At 40.8% G+C, this 27,293-nt stretch overlaps 1 protein-coding gene across 2 annotated transcripts in view, besides 1 other annotated feature; it reads right to left on the bottom strand.

Moving 5' to 3' along the window:
* Nucleotides 1-2,651: 2,651 nt before the first annotated feature.
* The window catches only part of CD38 (CD38 molecule), a 74,905-nt gene continuing 50,263 nt past the window's right edge, over nt 2,652-27,293 (bottom strand). For both annotated transcript variants that reach the window (NR_132660.2, NM_001775.4), the window contains 5 exons: nt 21,582-21,667; nt 17,719-17,792; nt 15,766-15,858; nt 15,346-15,432; nt 2,652-7,345 (listed from right to left, as the gene is read on the bottom strand). Coding sequence is in view for 1 of the 2 variants with exons in the window: in NM_001775.4 (NP_001766.2) it covers nt 7,282-7,345; nt 15,346-15,432; nt 15,766-15,858; nt 17,719-17,792; nt 21,582-21,667 (404 nt within the window). In the remaining variant the exon portion in view is untranslated. The remainder of the gene's footprint in view (nt 7,346-15,345; nt 15,433-15,765; nt 15,859-17,718; nt 17,793-21,581; nt 21,668-27,293) is intronic.
* Nucleotides 2,961-3,154: a silencer, noted in NCBI's record as "fragment chr4:15854353-15854546 (GRCh37/hg19 assembly coordinates)". NCBI's record gives its function as "represses an EF-1alpha promoter that drives an FKBP-Casp9 reporter gene in an ReSE screen in K562 erythroleukemia cells {active_cell/tissue: K562}" and the evidence as "EXISTENCE:reporter gene assay evidence [ECO:0000049][PMID:32094911]".

Genomic DNA, 27,293 nt, shown 5'->3' with positions numbered 1-27,293 from the left:
AGGGGCTTGAACTGGCAATGCTAAGGGAGGCTGTTGAACTCTTGATCAGCTTGAAGGATGAAATTTATACATTTGAACTTCTTAGATTTGGGAGCAGTGGAGTCTATTGCTGCATTTTTGTCAACCTCCAGCTTGGGATGGGCCAGCTCTTAGTGAAAGGTATCTGGCCCATTTCTCTCTTAGGTGGGAAAGTTCTAATCATCTAGAATGATTCAAAGCTTGTGAGAGACTATAGCTGATCCTGTTGGTTGGCAAGAGAGCCATTCTCTACCCTCTTCTCCATTGTCCCCTAGGTCTCAGGGTCTCAGCATCTAAACTAGGTAGGCTTGTCAAGGAATTTCCTCCGGAATAAAAACAGTCTCAAAAATAAAATAAAATAAAAATAAAAAAATAAAAATCCTAACATTGATACAGTTCTTCATATGTATTAAGCATTATCCTAAAAATTTTGCACATATCACCTTACTTAATGCTCAAAACAACCCAAAATGATAGACACTCTTATCACTCCCATTTTACAGACAGAGAAACTGAGCTCTGTCCTAAGCATTTTACCTGTATCAGGCCCTACACACTGAATGTATCTGTGCAACCGTGAATCTGTGGCTGGTGAGGAAGGAAAGCAGGTGCCATGCACCATCCACCATTCTCTTTCATTACTTCTGTTCCCAGAAATAGCCATGTCTGTGTTCTGGCAGTGATAGAGCGACAGCCAAGTGTCCATAGGGCAAGCGGCAACTTTTCTACCTGACAAGCCAGTAGAGTAATCTGGAGTGTTGTTCTTGGCTAAGTGGCTTCCAAACTATTTTCTCGCCCTCCCAGACAATCTATAAGCTCTTGATAGTTTTTAGAAAATTCACTTTCAGCCTGTGATGGTTGAGTGTCAACTTGATTGGACTGAAGGATGCAAAGTATTGTTCCTGGGTGTGTTTGTGAGGGTGTTGCCAAGGGAGATTAACATTTGAGTCAGTGGACTCGGAGAGGCAGACCCACAGTCAATCTAGGTGAGCACCATCTAATCAGCTATCAGTGCAGCTAGGATAAAAGCAGGCAGAAGAACGTGGGAGGACTAGACTGGCTGAGTCTTCTGGCTTCCATCTTTCTCCCATGATGGATGCTTCCTGCTCCCGAACATCGGATTCCAAGTTCTTCAGCTTTTGGACTCATGGACTTACACCAGTGGATTGTCAGGGGCTCTCAGGCCTTTGGCCACAGACTGAAGGCTGCACTGCTGGCTTCCCTACTTTTGAGATTTTGGGACTCGGACTGGTTTCCTTGCTCCTCAGCTTGCAGACGGCCTATTGTGGGACTTCACCTTGTGATCATGCAAGTCAATACACCTTAATAAACTCCCTTTCATATATCTATCTGTCTTTAGCTCTGTCCCTCTAGAGAACCCTAATACACAGCCAGAGTGGTGTTCTGTTGTTGCAGCTGAGAGCACAGGCTGATACAATGTGTGAAGTACCTTGTACAATAAACATTGGTTTTCTCTTTTCTGCAGGCTGGCATTTTGCATCAAGTTTTTTTGTTTTTTGTTTTGTTTGTTTGTTTGTTTTGAGACAGCAACTAAATTTCTATTGTCCAGGCTGGAGTGCAGTGGCACAATCTCAGCTCACTGTAGCCTTGATCTCCTGGGCTCAAGCAATCCTCTCACCTCAGCCTCTCAAGTAGTTGGGACTACAGGAACATGCCACCATGCCTGGTTAATTTTTGTTTAGTTTTTTTCAGAGATGAGATCTCATTATGTTGCCCAGGCTGGTCTCGAACTCCTGGGCTCAAGCAATCCTCCGTTCTCGACCTCCCAAAATGTTGGGATTACAGGCACGAGCCACCCTGCCAGGTCTTTTGCATCAAGTCTTTAAGTGTTGTTTCATGTTTATGTCACTTATTAAGAATCACACACAAGATCGTCCTTTGCAGGGACATGGATAGGGCTGAAGGCTGTTATCCTTAACAAACTAATGCAGGAACAGAAAACCAAATACCTCATGTTCTCACTTATATGTGGGCGTTAAATGATGAGAACACTTGGGACACAGTGAGAAACAACAAACATTGGGGCTTATTGGAGCATGGAGGGTGTGAGGAGGGGGAGGATCAGGAAAAATAACTAATGGGTACTAGGCTTAATACCTGGGTGATGAAATAATCTGTACAACAAACCCCCATGACACAAGTTTACCTGTGTAACAAGCCTGCACCTGTATGCCTGAACTTAAAAGTTTTTTTTAAAAAAATAATCACACATGTTGTTTTCATTATGTTAAATCCTGTGAGGTCTCAAGGTGAGTCTCCTTAATAGAGAATAAAAGATGCGTCATCACGTGATTCTCGAATGTGAGACTCCTACTGAAAAGCAAACAACATTCTTCTTCAATGTGTTGAAGAATAAAGAGGTGTGAGTAAGGATTTTCAGGTCTTTGTAGACAGTAGCACTGGACTCTTGTTGGCATCTATTCCCGCTTATTCCACCACTGAGACACACCAGGACAGTGACCCATCCTTTCCCCAGCTACCTAACTCACTCAATCGTGTAGTGCAGTAGGTAGGAAGTCCTGTTGTCTTCAGCAATGTGCCACCCACTGAACATGTCCCTTAGTTCTTTCAAGCCCAGAGACAACTCCTTTTAAAAGAATTATTCAGCACAGTTCTTTATTATACTTTTATTGTTTGTTTAATTCATTTTTGTCTGTTACAAATAAATTTCAAACTAGAGAGTCACAGATGTTAATAAACTCGCCCAATGCATCACCTGCCTCCGAATTCCATAGTTTCCACCGCCTTGCGCTACTTGCATTCTGATTAGAGAATGGTAATGTGTGCCTCTCTGAATCAAGTTCAAGAATAAATGCCCTATCCTGGCTAACACGGTGAAACCCCGTCTCTACTAAAAATACAAAAAATTAGCCGGGCGAGATGGCGGGCGCCTGCAGTCCCAGCTACTTGGGAGGCTGAGGCAGGAGAATGGCGTGAACCCCAGGGGGTGGAGCCTGCAGTGAGCCGAGATCGCGCCACTGCACTCTAGCCTGGGCGACAGCGAGACTCCGTCTCCCAAAAAAAAAAAAAAAAAAGAATAAATGCCCCGTTAGGGAATAGTTCAAAGCCTGTTGTGCTTTGTGTGGGTGAGCTAAGGCCAAGCTAATCACCACTTCTCTGGGCAGCACCTCTCAGCTGCCTACTGAGTTCTTGGTGGATTGCTTAAAATACATACTAAAATGATGACTCTTCATAGTAAAAGTAAATTAATTGCTCTGTTATTCAAAGAAAAACTGCGGGAAAATATCTGGATTAGCAATGTGTTGATAAAATGACTTAAAGTTATACAGTATTCTAGGTGTATTTTAATATTTTACTTTATACAATTTTTATGTCATACTTAAAAACTATCCAGCACATATAACAACTTGCCTTTTAAAAACCCACAAAAGCAGTTTTCTGTGCAGTATGGAATCTTCCTGAGAAACTTAAGTTACAGATTTAGGAATTGTTCTAAGGAGGAATAAGGCACCAAGAAGTAAGTCGATGTCGATGCTGTCCCCCTTGTATCACAGTGTGCAGACATGGGTTGAGCTTCTTCCAAACAAGAGCTACAAAAGGCACAGAAAGTTACCAAGGCAAAGCCAAAGAAACAATGTGTTTTGCCAAAATATTTGATAGCTCTGCCAGTTACATGAGAGACGTGGACATGGCACTAAACACGTTGACACAAATGGTGACTCAGGGCTAAAGTAAGACCTACTGGATGCTGCAATTACTGTGGATTGAGAGACACTGTTGTTGTAACAGGAAAGTATATATACAGTCATGTGTCGCATAACCACTTTTCAGCCAATGATGGCCCAAACAGTGGACCACATATATGATGACGGTCTCATAAGATTATAATACTGCATGTTTACTGTACCTTTTCTATGTTTAGATATGTTTAGATACACAAACATTTACCATCAGGTTAAAATTGCCCACAGCATTTAGTACAGACACACGCTGTACAGGCTTGTAGCCTAGGAGGAATAGGTGATACCATGTAGCCTGGGTGTGTAGTAGGTTAGACCATCTAGGTTAGTGTAAGTACACTCTATGATGTTCACACAATGACAAAATCATCTAATGATGCATTTCTCAGAACATATCCCCACTGTTGGCATATGATGTATGCAGGCTTGTGTGCGTGTGTTTGTGTATGTATCATATGACTGTATACAGGCACGTGTGTGTGTGTGGGTGTATGCAGTCATATGCACTTACGTATGTGTGTGTGTGTCCTTTCAAGTATTCAGTCTGAAATCAAAGGACTATATTTGAAAAGGTGCCTCAAACATTATAAGGTCAAGAACCATTACAATAGGAAAATGGTGAGCCTTAGGAATTTAGAAAAGGGGCATTAGGGCCCAGGTCATTCCCACAGCCTTTGGGTAAGCATGATGGTGGGTGAAAGTTGGGATGGTAAGAGAATTTTCTACAGCAAATGAGAATGGAGTAGGCAGACAGGGAGTAGTAGATTTACGAGTAAAATATGAGGTGTATGAGCAACCAGTAATCCAGTAGAGAAGTCACTTATAGGAAAAGTAATATATATTGTGAGGGGGTATTTATACATGTAGGTCAGAAAGTCCTTCGGGCCAGAGATGGCAAAGATACCCACGTTGGAACTACAGGGGGAAAGGAGGTAGAGATGAGGCATTGTGGTAATGAAGATAGACACACAAGGTCATGCACGGAGAAAAGAGCACCCAGCCCCTCACCACCTCTGTGGCTCCCTGGGACCCTCTAAAGCACTGTGCAAAATCCTTGTGACCACCCTCCCCTAAGGTCTCCACTGGCTCTGAACTTGAACACTCAAATGAGTCTTCCTAGGGGAAATTTCAAAAATTGATTTCTAATATTTTGATTTCTTGTTTGGAAGGGGATGTGGCCCAGGCAGCCACTTCAAGGGGTATCCTGTTGAGCAAGGACTCGATGAGTCCCGAAAGCAGCAACCAAAGTGGAAAGGATCTTAAGAGGAAAACAGCAGGTCACCCAGGAGACTGACCGGGCCCCGATTCTGAAGACATTCTGCAGGGGGAGCTAATGGCAACTTGGGGCAAGTCTGATTCTCACTCAGAACTGGTCCCAAACCCCCATCCTCATGTCGAGCCAAGACTAAACTCCCACAAGGATGTCTGCCAGGGGAGAAGGGGCTAGTGAAGAATCCCTGGACTGACCATGGTGGCTACAGCTACAAAGGCTCCTGTGGGAAACTGGATTGTCAAGCAGGGGAGGAAGAAAGGAACCAACTCTGTTGAGTGCTTGCTTATTTAGGAAGCTCTGTGCTGGACTCAATTTTTGCTGTCGTCTTTAGTACTTACCACATTTTAAGTTTTGTAATCCTTATTTGAGTGGCAAGGAAGTTGAAGTTCAGAAAGGTTAGGCATTTTGTTCAAGATGACAGCATGATGTCAAAATATGAATCCAGAAATGCCTGACTCCAACATTTAGGCTATTTTCAATAAATTGTGGTCATTCCCTGAAGGAGTCTCAAATTAATTTATTAATCCTTTGTTCAACACATATGGTTTATTTTCTTTATTTTTGCTTTTATTGAGACAGGGTCTCAATCTGTCACTCAGGCCAGAGTGCAGTGGTGTGATCACAGCTCCCTGCAGCCTCAACCTCCCAAGCTCAAACAATCCTCCCACCTCAGTCTCCAGAGTAGCTGGGACTACAGGTGCACAACACCATACCCAGGTAATTTTTTTGGAGATAATGTCTCACTGTTATTCCCAGGCTGGTGTAAAAACTCCTGAGCTCAGGCGATCCTCCCGTCTCGGCCTCCCAAAGTGCTGGGGATACAGGTGTGAGCCACCATGCCTGGCTTATGTTTTTTTCAAAACTAGAAAATCTCCAGATGTTAAAAACTAGGCACATATTTTTATATAACAATGAATTGAAAGATATTTTTAACTGAAGGATAATAAAGAGAGGCATATCAAAACATAAGAGCTGCAGCTAAAGCAGAACTCAAGGGAAAATATATCGTCCTAAAATCTATGTATACAAAAAAGAAAACAAGCTGAAGGATCAGTGATCTAAACTTCCATCTCAAGAAGCTGAATACGTAAATCTACCCAAAGAAATCAGAAAGCATTTCTATGTTTCCAATGCTAAAGAGAAGAGCAAAACCCAATTAAATAGAAAAAAATCAATGAAGCTAAAGCTTAGTTCTTTGAAAAAGTAATACAATTGTTAAAGCCCTCAAGCAAGGTTAATCCATGAAAAAAGAGAGAAAATATAAGCTGCCAGTACCAGCAACAAGTATATTTTAACTGTATACTACATATATAAAACACTGAGCATGAAGAGGAGGAGGAAGACGGGGGAAGAAAAACATGTGTTTTGGAGCCATCCAGAAGAACTATATTCCAGATTCCATTCTAGTCAATTTAATCCAATATGCATTTGTTGGAAGAGAATATAAACTACTATTAGTTTGGTATGAAAGGCCTAGAAGGAAAAAGCACATGAATTTTGGAGTTGGACAGAGTTGAGTTCAAATTCAGTCTCTAGCTTGATACTAAATGTAGGACTTACGGTAAATTATTAGGTTGGTTCAAAAATAATTGTGGTTTTGCCATTCCTTTCGGTGGCAAAACTTGCAATTACTTTTGCACCAACTTAAATATATAACCTCTCTGAGCTCCCATTTTCTCATCTAAAAAATGAAATAATACCAACCTCACAGCACTGTTGGAAGGGTTGGGGTAAAGCACCAAGTACGTGGGTAGCTTATATCCTACAGAATAATTTTCACCAACATGACCCATGACCATGAAGTTTATGGTTTGACTATCTGTAGGAAGGGTACAAAAATACATCATGCAACAAGGTCATTCATTTGGAAATGTAATGCTTTCTGAAAAACTTGAGCATTCACTTTTCTTCACTTGCCTGTTCTAATAAGAGAGGTTTGGTGTGGTGATTTTTCAATAGAAAGGATGTTACCAATATATAAATAACATAAAAGGATCACATGAGAATTAAAGTGAAGTAACTTAACATACAATTTTCATTCTAATCTTATACAATAATTTTTCTTGACTATTGATAGATCACAATAAAGGTATGCTGATGATATAAGTTATTTTAAGACTTTGGGGAAAAAGGCTTCCGTCTCTGGCATTGACCTTATTGTGGAGGACCCTCCAAAATCTTCAGCTCTGCACCAGCAGGTATGCTGAGTCATGTATGATGACATAAACCACAAGGAGTCAAGGAGCTAAAACAACCACAGCGACTGGCTCAGATCTCAGATGTGCAAGATGAATCCTCAGGATTTTTCACACACTGAAGAAACTTGTCAGGTCTATGACAAGAAAGCAAAAAAGGAAATCAAGAGACCGTAGGATACATCTGTCGTCCAATTCGCTAATGGAGGAAGCCCCTTTTTTAGCGACGACAAGGTGCACAGACCACTTAGCATCCATATAAACTCCTCTCCTGCAGTGACATGTCGGGAGGGGAGCTATCCATGCCACCTGCTGGTCAAAAAAACAGCAGGAGCAGCAACCAAGGCCACGGACCCCCACAGCTTCTGTGGCTAATTTGCTTTCCTCTCTTCCGAAGCTTCCTGAGGGAATGTTGAATCCAGGGTCAGAGGCAGAGTCTGGGAAAAAGCTGGAGACCCTCAGCAAGGGGACCAAACTTGCTTTGAAACAAACCTTAGATAAGTACCTAACAGGTGAATGACTATTATTTTCATAAAAATTAGCTAAAGCAACAGGATCCAATAGGAGTGGCTGGCACATGAATAGGGGGATGGTGGATAGCGAGGAATGGGGTTCTTTAAATTTGATTTTGCTAAATATGAGCCAAGGAAGAGAGAGATCCTCAGAAGCAGCTGCCAGCACCCCTGGGCTTCTGGAAGGAAGAGGTGTCAGAACCTGCCCTTGTGATGTGTCACCTGGTTCCCATTATGGGCCACTGTCTGTACAAGTCCAAATGGAAGCCATGCCCATATTTTCTTTCCAGATGGAGAATGAGTGAGCTCACTTGGAGCCTAAAGCAGACACAAATGAGGGGAGTTGACGAATTATAATATAAAGGTCTTCTGGTCATTTATGAGAAAAAGGTTAATGTTTCATAAGACAAAAAAGGTAAAAGAGTATTGGGGATAAGACCATCTTTATTTCCCAGTCTTTGTCTAGGTTTCTACTATTCTATTTTCTCCATGCAACATATCTTTGAACAGCTTAGACTCGTCAGATATCTGCAAGATTGCTTTTTTTTTTTTTTTTTTTTTTTTTTTTGCTTCTGAGAGTTGTTTTTTATTTTTTATTTTTTTTATTATACTCTAAGTTTTAGGGTACATGTGCACATTGTGCAGGTTAGTTACATATGTATACATGTGCCATGCTGGTGCGCTGCACCCACTAATGTGTCATCTAGCATTAGGTATATCTCCCAATGCTATCCCTCCCCCCTCCCCCGACCCCACCACAGTCCCCAGAGTGTGATATTCCCCTTCCTGTGTCCATGTGATCTCATTGTTCAATTCCCACCTATGAGTGAGAATATGCGGTGTTTGGTTTTTTGTTCTTGCGATAGTTTACTGAGAATGATGGTTTCCAATTTCATCCATGTCCCTACAAAGGATATGAACTCATCATTTTTTATGGCTGCATAGTATTCCATGGTGTATATGTGCCACATTTTCTTAATCCAGTCTATCATTGTTGGACATTTGGGTTGGTTCCAAGTCTTTGCTATTGTGAATAGTGCCGCAATAAACATACGTGTGCATGTGTCTTTATAGCAGCATGATTTATACTCATTTGGTTATATACCCAGTAATGGGATGGCTGGGTCAAATGGTATTTCTAGTTCTAGATCCCTGAGGAATCGCCACACTGACTTCCACAATGGTTGAACTAGTTTACAGTCCCACCAACAGTGTAAAAGTGTTCCTATTTCTCCGCATCCTCTCCAGCACCTGTTGTTTCCTGACTTTTTAATGATTGCCATTCTAACTGGTGTGAGATGATATCTCATAGTGGTTTTGATTTGCATTTCTCTGATGGCCAGTGATGATGAGCATTTCTTCATGTGTTTTTTGGCTGCATAAATGTCTTCTTTTGAGAAGTGTCTGTTCATGTCCTTCGCCCACTTTTTGATGGGGTTGTTTGTTTTTTTCTTGTAAATTTGTTTGAGTTCATTGTAGATTCTGGATATTAGCCCTTTGTCAGATGAGTAGGTTGCGAAAATTTTCTCCCATGTTGTAGGTTGCCTGTTCACTCTGATGGTAGTTTCTTTTGCTGTGCAGAAGCTCTTTAGTTTAATTAGATCCCATTTGTCAATTTTGTCTTTTGTTGCCATTGCTTTTGGTGTTTTGGACATGAAGTCCTTGCCCACGCCTATGTCCTGAATGGTAATGCCTAGGTTTTCTTCTAGGGTTTTTATGGTTTTAGGTTTAACGTTTAAATCTTTAATCCATCTTGAATTGATTTTTGTATAAGGTGTAAGGAAGGGATCCAGTTTCAGCTTTCTACATATGGCTAGCCAGTTTTCCCAGCACCATTTATTAAATAGGGAATCCTTTCCCCATTGCTTGTTTTTCTCAGGTTTGTCAAAGATCAGATAGTTGTAGATATGCGGCATTATTTCTGAGGGCTCTGTTCTGTTCCATTGATCTATATCTCTGTTTTGGTACCAGTACCATGCTGTTTTGGTTACTGGAGCCTTGTAGTATAGTTTGAAGTCAGGTAGTGTGATGCCTCCAGCTTTGTTCTTTTGGCTTAGGATTGACTTGGCAATGCGGGCTCTTTTTTGGTTCCATATGAACTTTAAAGTAGTTTTTTCCAATTCTGTGAAGAAAGTCATTGGTAGCTTGATGGGGATGGCATTGAATCTGTAAATTACCTTGGGCAGTATGGCCATTTTCACGATATTGATTCTTCCTACCCATGAGCAGTTCTTCCATTTGTTTGTGTCCTCTTTTATTTCCTTGAGCAGTGGTTTGTAGTTCTCCTTGAAGAGGTCCTTCACATCCCTTGTAAGTTGGATTCCTAGGTATTTTATTCTCTTTGAAGCAATTGTGAATGGGAGTTCACCCATGATTTGGCTCTCTGTTTGTCTGTTGTTGGTGTATAAGAATGCTTGTGATTTTTGTACATTGATTTTGTATCCTGAGACTTTGCTGAAGTTGCTTATCAGCTTAAGGAGATTTTGGGCTGAGACGATGGGGTTTTCTAGATAAACAATCATGTCGTCTGCAAACAGGGACAATTTGACTTCCTCTTTTCCTAATTGAATACCCTTTATTTCCTTCTCCTGCCTGATTGCCCTGGCCAGAACTTCCAACACTATGTTGAATAGGAGCGGTGAGAGAGGGCATCCCTGTCTTGTGCCAGTTTTCAAAGGGAATGCTTCCAGTTTTTGCCCATTCAGTATGATATTGGCTGTGGGTTTGTCATAGATAGCTCTTATTATTTTGAAATACGTCCCATCAATACCTAATTTATTGAGAGTTTTTAGCATGAAGCGTTGTTGAATTTTGTCAAAGGCTTTTTCTGCATCTATTGAGATAATCATGTGGTTTTTGTCTTTGGCTCTGTTTATATGCTGGATTACATTTATTGATTTGCGTATATTGAACCAGCCTTGCATCCCAGGGATGAAGCCCACTTGATCATGGTGGATAAGCTTTTTGATGTGCTGCTGGATTCGGTTTGCCAGTATTTTATTGAGGATTTTTGCATCAATGTTCATCAAGGATATTGGTCTAAAATTCTCTTTTTTGGTTGTGTCTCTGCCCGGCTTTGGTATCAGAATGATGCTGGCCTCATAAAATGAGTTAGGGAGGATTCCCTCTTTTTCTATTGATTGGAATAGTTTCAGAAGGAATGGTACCAGTTCCTCCTTGTACCTCTGGTAGAATTCGGCTGTGAATCCATCTGGTCCTGGACTCTTTTTGGTTGGTAAACTATTGATTATTGCCACAATTTCAGAGCCTGTTATTGGTCTATTCAGAGATTCAACTTCTTCCTGGTTTAGTCTTGGGAGAGTGTATGTGTCGAGGAATGTATCCATTTCTTCTAGATTTTCTAGTTTATTTGCGTAGAGGTGTTTGTAGTATTCTCTGATGGTAGTTTGTATTTCTGTGGGATCGGTGGTGATATCCCCTTTATCATTTTTTATTGTGTCTATTTGATTCATCTCTCTTTTTTTCTTTATTAGTCTTGCTAGCGGTCTATCAATTTTGTTGATCCTTTCAAAAAACCAGCTCCTGGATTCATTGATTTTTTGAAGGGTTTTTTGTGTCTCTATTTCCTTCAGTTCTGCTCTGATTTTAGTTATTTCTTGCCTTCTGCTAGCTTTTGAATGTGTTTGCTCTTGCTTTTCTAGTTCTTTTAATTGTGATGTTAGGGTGTCAATTTTGGATCTTTCCTGCTTTCTCTTGTAGGCATTTAGTGCTATAAATTTCCCTCTACACACTGCTTTGAATGCGTCCCAGAGATTCTGGTATGTGGTGTCTTTGTTCTCGTTGGTTTCAAAGAACATCTTTATTTCTGCCTTCATTTCGTTATGTACCCAGTAGTCATTCAGGAGCAGGTTGTTCAGTTTCCATGTAGTTGAGCGGCTTTGAGTGAGATTCTTAATCCTGAGTTCTAGTTTGATTGCACTGTGGTCTGAGAGATAGTTTGTTATAATTTCTGTTCTTTTACATTTGCTGAGGAGAGCTTTACTTCCAACTATGTGGTCAATTTTGGAATAGGTGTGGTGTGGTGCTGAAAAAAATGTATATTCTGTTGATTTGGGGTGGAGAGTTCTGTAGATGTCTATTAGGTCTGCTTGGTGCAGAGCTGAGTTCAATTCCTGGGTATCCTTGTTGACTTTCTGTCTCGTTGATCTGTCTAATGTTGACAGTGGGGTGTTAAAGTCTCCCATTATTAATGTGTGGGAGTCTAAGTCTCTTTGTAGGTCACTGAGGACTTGCTTTATGAATCTGGGTGCTCCTGTATTGGGTGCATAAATATTTAGGATAGTTAGCTCCTCTTGTTGAATTGATCCCTTTACCATTATGTAATGGCCTTCTTTGTCTCTTTTGATCTTTGTTGGTTTAAAGTCTGTTTTATCAGAGACTAGGATTGCAACCCCTGCCTTTTTTTGTTTTCCATTGGCTTGGTAGATCTTCCTCCATCCTTTTATTTTGAGCCTATGTGTGTCTCTGCACGTGAGATGGGTTTCCTGAATACAGCACACTGATGGGTCTTGACTCTTTATCCAACTTGCCAGTCTGTGTCTTTTAATTGCAGAATTTAGTCCATTTATATTTAAAGTTAATATTGTTATGTGTGAATTTGATCCTGTCATTATGATGTTAGCTGGTGATTTTGCTCATTAGTTGATGCAGTTTCTTCCTAGTCTCGATGGTCTTTACATTTTGGCATGATTTTGCAGCGGCTGGTACCGGTTGTTCCTTTCCATGTTTAGCTCTTCCTTCAGGAGCTCTTTTAGGGCAGGCCTGGTGGTGACAAAATCTCTCAGCATTTGCTTGTCTATAAAGTATTTTATTTCTCCTTCACTTATGAAGCTTAGTTTGGCTGGATATGAAATTTTGGGTTGAAAATTCTTTTCTTTAAGAATGTTGAATATTGGCCCCCACTCTCTTCTGGCTTGTAGGGTTTCTGCCGAGAGATCCGCTGTTAGTCTGATGGGCTTTCCTTTGAGGGTAACCTGACCTTTCTCTCTGGCTGCCCTTAACATTTTTTCCTTCATTTCAACTTTGGTGAATCTGACAATTATGTGTCTTGGAGTTGCTCTTCTCGAGGAGTATCTTTGTGGCGTTCTCTGTATTTCCTGAATCTGAACGTTGGCCTGCCTTGCTAGATTGGGGAAGTTCTCCTGGATAATATCCTGCAGAGTGTTTTCCAACTTGGTTCCATTCTCCACATCACTTTCAGGTACACCAATCAGACGTAGATTTGGTCTTTTCACATAGTCCCATATTTCTTGGAGGCTTTGCTCATTTCTTTTTATTCTTTTTTCTCTAAACTTCCCTTCTCGCTTCATTTCATTCATTTCATCTTCCATTGCTGATACCCTTTCTTCCAGTTGATCGCATCGGCTCCTGAGGCTTCTGCATTCTTCATGTAGTTCTCGAGCCTTGGTTTTCAGCTCCATCAGCTCCTTTAAGCACTTCTCTGTATTGGTTATTCTAGTTATACATTCTTCTAAATTTTTTTCAAAGTTTTCAACTTCTTTGCCTTTGGTTTGAATGTCCTCCCGTAGCTCAGAGTAATTTGATCGTCTGAAGCCTTCTTCTCTCAGCTCGTCAAAATCATTCTCCATCCAGCTTTGTTCTGTTGCTGGTGAGGAACTGCGTTCCTTTGGAGGAGGAGAGGCGCTCTGCGTTTTAGAGTTTCCAGTTTTTCTGTTCTGTTTTTTCCCCATCTTTGTGGTTTTATCTACTTTTGGTCTTTGATGATGGTGATGTACAGATGGGTTTTCGGTGTAGATGTCCTTTCTGGTTGTTAGTTTTCCTTCTAACAGACAGGACCCTCAGCTGCAGGTCTGTTGGAATACTCTGCCATGTGAGGTGTCAGTGTGCCCCTGCTGGGGGGTGCCTCCCAGTTAGGCTGCTCGGGGGTCAGGGGTCAGGGACCCACTTGAAGAGGCAGTCTGCCCGTTCTCAGATCTCCAGCTGCGTGCTGGGAGAACCACTGCTCTCTTCAAAGCTGTCAGACAGGGACACTTAAGTCTGCAGAGGTTACTGCTGTCTTTTTGTTTGTCTGTGCCCTGCCCCCAGAGGTGGAGCCTACAGAGGCAGGCAGGCCTCCTTGAGCTGTGGTGGGCTCCACCCAGTTCGAGCTTCCTGGCTGCTTTGTTTACCTAATCAAGCCTGGGCAATGGCGGGCGCCCCTCCCCCAGCCTCGTTGCCGCCTTGCAGTTTGATCTCAGACTGCTGTGCTAGCAATCAGCGAGATTCCGTGGGCGTAGGACCCTCTGAGCCAGGTGTGGGATATAGTCTCGCGGTGCGCCGTTTCTTAAGCCGGTCTGAAAAGCGCAATATTCGGGTGGGAGTGACCCGATTTTCCAGGTGCGTCCGTCACCCCTTTCTTTGACTCGGAAAGGGAACTCCCTGACCCCTTGCGCTTCCCAGGTGAGGCAATGCCTCGCCCTGCTTCGGCTCGCGCACGGTGTGCACACACACTGGCCTGCGCCCACTGTCTGGCACTCCCTAGTGAGATGAACCCGGTACCTCAGATGGAAATGCAGAAATCACCCGTCTTCTGCGTCGCTCACGCTGGGAGCTGTAGACCGGAGCTGTTCCTATTCGGCCATCTTGGCTCCTCCGCCGCAAGATTGCTTTTACAGTTGCTCCTTCATTCATTCTTTCTGTTTTCCTGTCTAACTGCTGTAGAATGCTCATGGCCTTTTCTGGCTGTTTCCAGATAGAAGCAAGGTGACTCATGGGGAATTCAGGTCATTTGGGAAACAAAAGCCATCAGTAGAGTCTCCAGAATCTATCCTTCTGCTTTTCTGATGTGGTTAGTGAGAGAAGGTAGTGACATGGAAACAGGAACAATATTCTAGCATCTCAGCTTCTACCTCCTTTGAACAGCTTTTCCTCTCTGCATCAATCTTGTTCCAAGCTATTATACGTGGAAAAATCTCCAAAGATGCTTCTACCAATGAGTACCTACCTACACCATTGGTCACAACTGCTTAAAAATGAGTGAGGGGTCTCAGTTTTGAAACTAGAATTATATGTGACTTTAAAAAATATATATCTATCTGTAATTTTAAACTGTTTTCTAATAAACACAAATTATCAGAAAAATTTTGTAAATACTTTTTTTTTTAATTTAAAAAATATAGATTTTGGTAGACTGCCGTGTGACGCCTTGTCATGTGTTAGGCATCTGTACTCAGATCCAACTAAGGAAGCTTCACTTGCAAAATGATGTCAAGTCACAAGGATTTTACAACTTGGGAGAAAGGGCTTAGCAAAACATTCCCTTGCTCCCCTGAAACCTAGTAGGCCAGTGAACCCTGGACTGGGCCACTCACACTGGGAATGAAAAAATATGCCATCAAAGGTTGTGTCAGCTTTAGAGGCAAGTCCTACTTGGGATCAATAGAGACGGATGAGGAAAGGCAGCCAAGTGAAGGCCACTAGCTTGGATACCTTCTGGACTCGGCTTGGAAGGAGGGACAGAGATCACCAGAGGTTGCCATCTGTGATCATCATCAAGGCCCAAGAAAGATTCACACAGCCCTCCAAGCTCAGAGGAGGCTAAGGAAAAAAGGAAATTCTACAGGTGACAAGACAGTCATTTTTTTCTTCAAGAAGAAATTAATTACCTGTAGATATTCTTGCAGGAAAATTGAATATTCCTTTTGCTTATAATCGATTCCAGCTCTTTTATGGTGGGATCCTGGCATAAGTCTCTGGGGAAGAAAGAAGAAAGTATTAAAATTACAAGATCTCACAAACATTTTTGGAGTCTCTTTGTTTTTGTAGCACGCCCTGGACAAGGCCCTTGGATAAAGAGGTAAAGTAGAGGTAAATCCTCTAAGAGCTCCTGGGTCAGCAGGAGAGCTGAAGTGTCAAGCAGTTAAATATCCTTTGTGGAGATAAAGTTAAGAGGCTGTTGGGATTCATGCACATTCATGTAGTTTCATTTCCTGAGTCAATTTGTTCCCAGTGCGTGCTTGTGACTGTGGATTCTTTTGTGGACTGATTCATAAAATAACACTTGGGTACAAAGTAGTAAGATATACCTGGAATCTTCTCTTCCACCATGTATCACCCAGGCCTCTAGTGTCTGAACCTTCTCTGGTTGCAAATTATGGACTTCCACACTCCCAAAAGTGCTAAAATAGAAGAAACAAAGAACCCCAAACATCAACCCCAAACGAAAGCATCCACACCCCCCTCAACAACCAGCAGGCAGAAAGGCACTGGCTAGGACCTATCCTTTAGAGTTGACACATCAAATTGCAAATCAGTCAATAACCTTTTCTTATTCAGCATGACCCTCGGTTAACAAGATTCTCAAAATAAAATTCTTAATTTGTGCATTAATGTTGATTCTTTAAATATTTGCTATTTGAAGAGTGGTCCTTAGACCAACCTAATGAACATCACCTGGGAACTCATTAGAAATGTAGAATTTCAGCCAGGCATGGTGGCTCATGCCTGTAATCCCAGCAATTTGGGAGGCCGAGGCAGGCAGATCATGATGCCAGGGGATCGAGACCATCCTGGCTAACACTATGAAACCCCGTCTCTACTAAAAATACAAAAAATTAGCTGGGCGTGGTGGTGGGTGCCTGTAGTCCCAGTTATTCAGGAGGCTGAGGGAGGAGAATGGCGTGAACCTGGGAGGCTGAGCTTGCAGTGAGCGGAGACCGTGTCACTGCACTCCAGCCTGGGCAACAGAGCGAGACGCCATCTCAAAAAAAAAAAAAAAAAAAAAAAAAAGAAATGTAGAATTTCAACCACTATAACCTGCTGAAATGATCTGCAGTTGAACAATCCCCACGTGATTCACATGCTCAGTGAAGTTTGAGAGGCAATGCTTTGAAAGACTATGGTTGCCTGCCCTAATCCCATTCCTAAACTCTTCCCTGTTAGTCTCTGACAACTGACACTCCTGTTTCAAGTGCTTGAACCATAATATTAGATCATAAAATTCTGAAATGTTAATGCTTTTACCCAAAAAAATTGGGATCAGAAGACGAAAGGACAAATGCTTCCTTGTAGAATTAAATATTAAAACAGGAGAGAAGAAAAATTAATTTGGGGCACCTAGAGTTTATAAGGCAAATTAATATATGCTTCCTCCTTTCAGTCAGCCTTATGTGGGATTAGAGAACAAAAATTAGAGAACAAAGGCCGAAAAGGTAATCAACATAGTAAAAACTGTAAATATAGAAGGAGATCAGCCAAGGAAGGCACAGGTGTGGCCAGATTCAGTGGCAAGGATCAGCAAATGAGAATAATAGCTGATTCTCATTGAGCACTTTCTCTGTTGTCAGGCACAGAGCTCAGCATTTTTCATCTGTTGTCTCAGTTAATCTTCCCATCACCATCAACTCTTTGGTACATATTCAGGGGCTCACAGAGGTTGACTGCCCTGCCTGAGGTCACACAGATGATATGTAATGACCGCCAGTACCTGCTTTCAACCACTACAGTACATTGTTGACAATGTCTGCAAAAAGATAGTGAAGGCCAAGAGCCCAGCACAGTTCCCGATGTTCCCGGTAGTAGTTTTACTACTGAATTGGGGTACACAATTTTCCTGGAGGAGAGGAGGGTCAAGGCAGGTCTTCATGGATGGTGAAGATTTAGACAGAAGGGAGCAGGGGAGCAGGGGAGGCAGGTCATATGGGGGAACGGTGTGAACAATGGTGAGCAATGGGTAGGGTGGAGGGTAACGGGAGAGAAAGCTGAGAAAATTACACCAGGCCTGCAAAAGTTAAGAGCAGGGGCTAGATACAGTGCAGTGGCCATTAGAACCTGGTAGACAATTTTTGGCAAAGGAGAAATCAGACAAACACATTGACAGGAGACAACTCTCTCCACGGAATTCAAAATTTTTACCTTTTTTGGCCCTAATCTTCAGAACTGACCTGAAACATGAAAAGCATATTCTTTCTAGAGATGAAATATTCACTGTGATATTTGCAACAGGATACTTGCAAACAGGATGCAAAATAAATGTGTACCTGTTTTTGTCAAAGATTTTACTGCGGGATCCATTGAGCATCACATGGACCACATCACAGGCAGCTTCTGCAAACTTAAAAAAAAAAATGCCCACCATTCATCATGCAAACTTAATCACCATCCTCCAGCAGTTTCATTCAAAACAATACTTAGCAATAGCTGGTTAAGGAAGGATATCCCATATGGTTTTAGCCCAGGAATGTCAGGTCTACACAATTTTTATTCCAAGCCACTGGACGGATTATGCTTCATATCAGAGTTCTTGAAGCAGTTGCTCCAATCTCTAAGTGAACAATGTTCAGTGTTATAGTTCATAGAGCTGGTGGTTCAGTGGTTCAGAAGTCAGAAGTCCAGAGGAGTAAGAGGAATGTCTAGAGGGGGAAGATGAAAGTGCTTTCTCAGTGTCATGCACTGTAAACATTATGCTTCATTTAGTGGGAACAGGTGGATGATTCAGGGATGAGGGAAATGGGAACACCATAAGAGGGGAACCTGAGGAGAGAACAGGGGACCCTTAGGCCTGGAAAAGCACAGAGAGAAAGGAGGACTGAATAAGTGAATGAATAAATATGCTTGAGCAAAGGGTCTTATTTCTCCATGCAAGAAACATTCAGCAGGAATCTTTGTTAGACTTTGGAAAAATGAAATGAACAAAATAGTGTTCTATATGCTCCCTCCAGGAGGCCTCCCCAACCCCTGGGACTAGCTCAAGTCCCCTTCTCTGACTCTGACAGCATCTTACATTCCCTCCACATTATCCAACTGTATTGTATTATAATGATGAGTTTAACCTACCCACAAAAATTAAAAATTAAAAAAAAACATGGCCTCTGTTATCAGAAAAAGAAAGGGACAAGTCTGAAAAAAGAAGTCCATCCACATACATCCATGAGTGATTGGCAAAATAAAGGTGCTGGTAGCTCACAAGGGCAGGACGCCTTCAATCACGTGCACCTCTGTATTCCTAGTGCCAGGGACTGAGTGGGGAACGCAAGGAGGTTCTTGATACATATAAAATGTGACTTGGCTTTAAAAGATTTTAGCAACAGCACTGTCCTAAAACATACCATAGAGTAGTGAAATGGAAACTATTCTCAGAAAAAGCAAACAAACAAAAACTATAAAGTGCCCATGAATGTTCACTGTCCATAGTAAGTACTCAATGAATTATTTTTGAAGTGGGTGGATTTTGGGTTATGTTATAGGATGGTGGTATCTCATTTAAACATTGCAGTAACCCTATGGAACAAGTATATTTTGATTTCCATTTGACAAATGAGGAATCAGAAGATCAGAATGAGTAAAGGAATCTGCCCAAGTTTAAACATGGTCTCCTTATGTCAACTTCCAGGCTGTTTTTCTGTTTCCATCGTACCAGGGTTTACATGAATCCCCCTAAGACAGAGATTTAGCTAGGTACCAACCTAGAGTTAAGATCAAACCTGTCATTTAAAAGACAGAACCAATAAGCAGATTCAAAGAACAAAATTGAAGAGCATGGCTTTGGAATCAGGGAGGCCTAGGTTAGGCTCTTAGGTCTGTAACTTATTAGCCCAGGGAACTTGGATGAGTCACTTAACTTCTGAGTCTTAGTTTCTTCACCTTTAATGTAGGGATTTGTCACACTACCTATGGGGATGACTCAATGGGAATGACAGAGGAACTACTTCAAGGCTTGTCACAGATATGCTGCTATGATTTGAATGTATGTGTTTCTTATGTTGATACCTAAGACCAATGTGATGGTAATAAGTAGTGAGTCCTTTAGGAGATAATTGGGCCCTAAGGGTTCTGCCCTCATGAATGGGATTAACACCCTTATGAAAGGGCTCCAGGGAACTAGCTAGGTTCCTTTAGCCCCTCTGCCTCTGCCATGTAAGGACACAGCAAGAAGGCACCATTTTGGAAGCAGACAGCAGCCCTCACCAGACATTGAATCTGCTGGCACCTTAATCCTGGATTTCCCAAGTATCCAGCACAATGAGAAAATAAAACTCCTGTTTTAAAAAAATTACCAAGTCTCAGGTAGTTTGTGATAGCAGCACAAATGGACTAAGACATATGCACTTAACAAATACATTTCCACCTGCCCCAGTTCCTCAGATGTCTAAGTTTAATTTTGAAAGTTATAATTAGTGTATTGTTACTCACACCTTTTTCTTTCATTTCTTTCTTCCTTCCTTTCTCTTTTTTTCCCTAACACACTTGAAAAGAAATGTTTCCTTGTCCACTTAACACTGAAGCAACTTACAAGATAAATAAATATACACAGGTAGCTTTGAGTAAAGTTAGAAATAGATGGGGGTATATGTGCACAATGGAATTGTATTCAGGAATTAAAAAATGTATTCCTGGCCAGGTGCAGTGGCTCACCCCTGTAATCCCAGAACTTTGGGAGGCCAAGGTGGGTAGATCACCTGAGGTTAGGAGCTTGAGACAGCCTGGCCAACATAGTGAAACCCTGTCTCTACAGAAAATACAAAAATTAGCCGGGCATGGTGGCCCATGGCTGTAGTCTTAGCACCTTGGGAGGCCAAGGCTGGCGGATCACCTGAGGTCAGGAGTTTGAGACCAGCCTGGCCAACATGGTGAAACTCCGTCTCTACTGAAAATACAAAAATTAGCCGGGCATAGTGGCCCACACCTGCAGTCCCAGCTACTGGGGAGGCTGAGGTAGGAGAATCGCTTGAACTTAGGAGGTGGTGGTTGCAGGGAGCCGAGATCACACCATTGCACTCCAGCCTGGGTGACAGAGCAAGACTCCATCTCAAAAAAAAAAAAAAAAAAAAAAAAAAAAAAAAGTATTCCTGTCATTTGCAGCAACATGGAAGGAACTGGAGGGCATTATGTTAAGTGAAGTAAGCCAGAAACAGATGGTTAAATACTACATACTCTCACTCATATATGGAAGCTAAAATTAAGTTGATCTTATGGAAGTAAAAGGCAGAACAGAGGCCACCATAGGCTTAGAAAAGTAGGAGGAGGAGGAGATAGGTAGAGATTTGTTAAAAGATACAAAATTATAGTTAGATAGGAGGAATAAATTCTGGTGTTCAATAACACTGTAGGAGGACTACAGTTAATAATATGTAGTTTCAGCTAGCCAGAAGGGGGATATTCAATGCTCCCAACACAAAGAAATGATAAATGTTCGAGATGACAGATATGTTAATTACCCCGATTTCATCACTATACCTTATATGTATCACCACATCACTATATACCCCATAAATATGTAAAACTATTATGTATCAATTTTTTTAAAAAAAATAGGTAGAGGGTGGAGTGGTGAGTTTTTCCCAGCCTAGATTCTGAATCTGGAGTCAGACAGCTTGGGATAAACTCCCACATATGCCTCTTACTAATTCTGTACATTTAGTAGATTCCTTGTTTACTTGTACCTTCACGTTATGTGTTAAATGGTTACAATACTCATGGCACCTGCTTCACAGGGTTCTGGTGAAGATGCAAGTTACTAGTTCATGTAAAGATCTGAGGACCGTACCTGCCACATAGTAAGGGGTCTATACATGTAGATTGTTACGACTGTCCCAGGTATCTAAGATTGACTAATACCTGAATCAGAGGATTAAACCAAGCCCCAGGTTCCTGGTAGCCAAAGTCAGAGTGGGTACGTGCAAAGATTCTGCAACTGGAGCCCATGGACCCTCTAAGAATGTTCTAAAATTGGATGTGTAAATTTTCTGGCATGTGCATCTGAACCTTTTTCTCAGGAATGAATCCTATATTTTCATTCCTAAAAGTATTTGTAATCCAAAAGTGTTAAAACCAAGCACTGACTGAGTAACGTCTTAAGTTCTGTGGTCTCCAAAGCTCTAGAATTTCACTACTTGGTACTTACCCTGCGGGAAACCGTTTTCCAGAATACTGAAACAGGGTTGTTGCTGCAGTCCTTTCTCCAGTCTGGGCAAGATTGATAGTTTATTTCTAAAAGACATAGTTTGTAGAAAATAAAGTGGAAAACAGAGAGTATAAATAAGCTGTACTCTTCCCTGGCTGTTCAGTCATAGTGGAACCATTTTCCAATGTGTCACTGCCAAGACGGAGGCTGGAGAATGGACACATTTTGACCCAATTTAACTAAGTGTCCCCTGAATTCTTTCCAAGTTCTTACCTTATCTTCCAAATCCCAGATGGGAACACAGTGGCAAGTTTTGAGTCATGGTTCTGGGAAATGCTACCAAAAGTTCATCTGACAGAGACAAGCCCTCTAGGATTATCCCCAGTCCAGGAAGAATTAGAGGTAAAACCAGTCCTTCAGTGGTTGCTTTTGCCAACTGCTTTTCTGCTTCCTGACAACTCTCTCTTGCTGTGTTTCCTGCCCCACTTCTTAAGTCTTCACCACTTACTCTCAGATGGCCTCAGAGTCTTCCTACACTTGCCCTCATCAAGGCAGTCTTAACCCTGAGTGAAGTACAATGGACACAGAGCATGAATACATAGTTTCTGTGTCACTTCTCCCAAGGATATCTGCCTTAATGCACATTTATTGAGTTTTAGGTCTTAGAGGTAGAAAGATAAAATAGAAAAATTAGATGGGAACTTTGCCTTCAGAGAGCACATGATATAGTAATTCTAGGAGTCTTGTAATGATTAAATGCTTTAAAACCAAAACCACACAAATAAAAAAGAAACATTCCCATGTGTAGATATAAATAATTATTGTGGAGTCAAAAGGAATTATCTTCCCAACAGAGGTAAAAATGTTGATGGTGGAATGGACATACATTTCATAAGGTGCTTTAAAGTATATATGTTTTCATGAAAATAAACCTCTTTTATCTTCACAACGACATCTGGAGAGAATTCATCACCTACTAACTGAAGAGCCCTTGGGCCCTGAAAAACCAGAAGTGATACCCAATTAGTATGTCATGGGCCTTGGGTGAGACTCTGTGACTTGCTGGCTTCAGGTACAGCCACAGAGAGGTAGAGCACCAACTGGGCTTGGGGTCCCTGATTCCAGGATGTGGCTCTTGGATAGCATTTCTGGGCCTGCCCTGGGCCAGAGGGGAGCCCACTGCTTTGAAGGGTGAGTCCCAGGCCAGGCAGCATTAACCACAAGCTGACTGAAGAGTCCTTGGGCCTTGGAATATTAACAGTACACTGGCAGTACTCCCTGTGGGCCTGTGGTGGTGGTGGCCATGAGGTGAGGCTCCTTTGCCTTAGAAAAGGGGAAGACAGCATGGGAAGGACTGTGTCTTGTGGTTTGAATGCCAGCTTAGTCACAGTACAATGCAATACTAGGTAGACTTCTAAGGTTTTTTACTCTAGTCCCTGGCTTCTGGATGGCACCTCTGGACCAACCCAGGGCCTTGGGAAACTTGCCAACCTGAAGAGAAGAACACGGGTCTGGCTGGCTTTCTCACCTACTGATTGTAGAGCCCCAGAGCCTTGAGCAAATATAGATGGCAGCTAGGAAGTGGTTACTGCAGGCCCTGGGCAAGTGCTGTACTGGCTTCAAGTCTTACCCAGCAAAGTCCTAGTTGCGGTGGAGTGTGTCACCAGCTTTATGTGGGTCAGAACAGAAAGAGAGAGACTCTGGGAGAAAGTAAAGGGACTAGAAAAAGAATCTCTGCCTGGTAATCCAGAGAATCCTTCTAGATCTTGTCCAAGACCATCAAGGTGGTACCTCCATGAGTGTGTACAAGACCCACAGCATTACTAGGCTTGCAGGGCCCCCTACAGCAGATACAACGTAGATCACAACATCCGAGTCCTTCAAAATATCTGGAAAGCCTTTCCAAGGACAAGTACAAACAGGCCCAGGTTGTAAAGACTACAATAAATACAATGCCTAGATGCAGAAAAATATCTACAAGTATCAAGACCATCCAGGAATACATGACCTCACCAAATGAATTAAATAAGACATCAGAGATCAATCCTGAAGAAACAGAGATATGTGAGACAGAGAATTCAAAATAGCCATGTTGAGGAAACTGAAAGAAATTCAAGAATTCTATCAGATGAATTTAACAAAGAGATGGAAATAATTAAAAAGAATCAAGTAGAAATTCTGGAGCTGAAAAGTACAAATAACACACTGAAGAATGCATCAGAGTCTTTTTATAGCAGAACTGATCAAGCAGAAGAAAGAATTTGTGAGCTTGAAGACAGGCTATTTGAAAATACACAGTCAGAGGAGACAAAAGAAAAAAGAATAAAAAACAATGAAGCACACTGGCAGGATCTAGAAAATTGCCTTAAAAGGGCAAATCCAAGAGTTATTGGTGTCAAAGAGGAGGTAGAAAAAGAGATACAGGTAGAAAGTTTATTCAAAGCAATAATAACAGAGAACTTTGCAAACCTAGAGAAAGATATCAATATCCCAAGTACAAGAAGGTTATAGAACACCAAGCAGATTTAACCCAAGAATGCTGCCCCAAAGCATTTGATAATCAAACTCCCAAAGGTCCAAGATAAAGAAAGGATCCTAAAAGCAGCAAGAGAAAAGAAACAAATAGCATACAAGGGAGTTTCAGTACATCTGGCAGCAGACTTTTCAGTGGAAACCTTACAGGCCAGATGAGAGTGGCATGACATATTTGAAGTGCTGAAAGACAAAAAAAAAAGTTTTTACTCTAGAATAGTATATCTGGTGAAAATATCCTTCAAACTTGAAGGAGAAACACAGACTTTTCCAGACAAACAAAAGGTGAGGGATTTAATTAACACGAGACCTGTCCTAGAAGAAATGCTAAAGGGAGTACTTCAATTAGAAAGAAAAGGATATTAATGAGCAATTTAATCATCTGAAGGTACAAAACTCACTGGCAGTAGTAAGTACACAGAAAACCACAGAATGTTATAACACTGTAACTATGACGTGTAAACTACTCTTGTCTTAAGTAGAAAAACTAAATGATGAGCCAATCAGAAATAATAACTACAATAACTTTTCAAGACATATAAAGTACAATAAGACATAAATAGAAACAACAAAAAGTTTTAGAGTGGGAGAATGAAGTTAAGGTATAGAGTTTGTATTAGCTTTCTGTTTGCTGTCTTTGTTTCTTTATGCAAACTGTGTTAAGTTGTTATCAGCTTAAAATAATGGGATATAAGATACTATTTTTAAGCCTCATGGTAACTTCAAACTCAAAAACATATAACAGTTCCACAAAAAATAAAAAGCAGGAAACTGAAAAAATCACCTCCACTGAAAGGAAGACAGAAAGGAAAGAAAGAAGGAAGAGAAGACCACAAAACAAACAGAAAACAAGTAACAAAATGGCAGGAGTAAGTCCTTACTTAAAAATATAACATTTACGTCAAATGTAAATGGACTAAACTCTACAATCAGAAGGCACAGAGTGGCTCAATGGATAAAAATGAAACTAGACCCCTATCTCAAATCACATACAAAAATAAAATCAAAATAGATTAAAGATTTAAATCTAAGACCTCAAACTATGAAACTACTGCAAACTACTACAAGAAACCACTGGGGAAACTCTCCATGACATTTGTCTGGGCAAAAAAAATTATTGAGCAATACCCCATGAGCACAGGCAACGAAAGCAAAATGAACAAACAGGATCACATCAAGTTAAAAAGCTTCTGCATAGCAAAGGAAACAATCAACAAAGTGAAGAGAGAGCCCACAGAATGGGAGAAAATATTTGCAAACTACCCATTCAAGAAGGCATTAAAAACCAGAATAGATAAGTAATTCAAACAACTCTATAGGAAAGAAATCTAATAATCCAATTAAAAATGGGCAAAAGATTTGAATACATATTTCTCAAAAGAAGACATACAAATGGCAAACAGGCATATGAAAATGTGTTCAAATCATTGACCATCAGATAAATGCAAATCAAAACTATCATGAGATATCATCTCACCCCAGCTAAAATGGCTTTCATCCAAAAGTCAGGCAATAACAAATAATGATGAGGATGTGGAGAAAGGGGAACCCTTGTACACTGTTGGTGGGAATGTGAATTAGTACAACCACTATGGAGAACAGTTTTGAGGTTTCTCAAAAAAATAAAAATAGAGCTATTATATGATCCAGCAATGCCACTGCTGGATATATACCCAACAGAAAGAAAATCAGTCAATGGAAGAGATATCTGCACTCCCATGTTTATTGCAGCACTGTTCACAATAGCCAAGATATGGAAACAACCTAAATGTCCATCAATAGATAAATGGATAAAGAAAATGTGGTATTTATACACAATGGAGTACTATTCAGCCACAAAAAAGAATGTGTTCCTGTCATTTGCAACAACATGAATAGAACTGGAGGTCATTATGTTAAGTGAAATAAGCTAGACACAGAAAGATAAACATAGGATGTTCTCACTTATTTTAGCATCCAACAAATCAAAACAACTGATCTCATGGACATGGAGAATAGAAAAATGGTTACCAGACGCTGGGAAGTGTAGCAAGACATTGTGGGGAGGTGGGGATGGTTACCAAAAAATAGTTAGAATGAATAAGACCTATTATTTGATAGCACAGTATGGTGACTGTAGTCAATAACAATTTTGTTGTACATTTTAAAAAAAGCTTGTCCAACCCATGGCCCATGGGTCTCAAGCAGCCCATGACAGCTTTGAATGCAGCCCAACACATAAGTTCAATTCATAAACTTTCTTAGAAATTAGGAGATTTTTTGCGATTTTTTTTCAGCCCATCAGCTATCATTAGTATTAGTGTATTTTATGTGTGGCCCAAGACAATTCTTCCAATGTGGCCCAGGGAAGCCAAAAAATTGGACACCCCTGTTTTAAAATAACTAAAAGAATAAAATTGGATTGTTTGTAACACAAAAGATAAATGCTTATGGGGAAAGAGACATTTTTCATGATGTAATTATTATGCACTGTATATCTATATCAAAACATCTCATGTACACACATCCCATATATACACCTATTATGTATGCACAAAAATTAAAAATTAAAAAACAAACAAAAACAAAATACATAAGGAACTCAAACAACTCAAAAACAAGAAAAAAAATCAATTTAAAGGTGGGCAAAGGACCTGAATAGACATTTTTCAAAAGACATACAAATGGCCAACAAATATATTTTAAAATGCTCAAGCTTCCTAATTAATAGGGAAACAAAAATTAAAACCACAATGAGACATCATCTCACACCTGTCAGAAGGGTATAATCAAAAAGATGAAAGATAAATAACAAGTGTTGGCAAGAATGTGAAGAAAGGGGGTTATTTGTACACTATTGGGAAAGTAAATTAGTATACCCATTATGGAAAATGTGATGAAAGTTCCTCAACAAACTAAAAATAGAATACTACCATATGATCCAGCAATCCCACTTCTAGGTATTTACCCAAAAGATTTCAAATCAGTTTGTCAAAGAGATACCTGCTCCCCCATGTTCATTGCAGCACTATTTACAATAGCCAAGATATGGAATCAACCTGAGTCCATCAATAGACGAATGGATAAAGTGTGGTATATATACACAATGGAATACTATTCAGACTTTAAAAAGAAAGAAATTCTGTCATTTGTGACAATATAGATGGAACAAGAAAACAATATGCTAAGTAAAATAAGCCA

This window comes from Homo sapiens, chromosome 4 (genome assembly GCF_000001405.40).
Source record: "Homo sapiens chromosome 4, GRCh38.p14 Primary Assembly".
NCBI classification, from domain to species: domain Eukaryota; kingdom Metazoa; phylum Chordata; class Mammalia; order Primates; family Hominidae; genus Homo; species Homo sapiens.
This window is presented reverse-complemented; position numbering and strand designations above follow the sequence as displayed.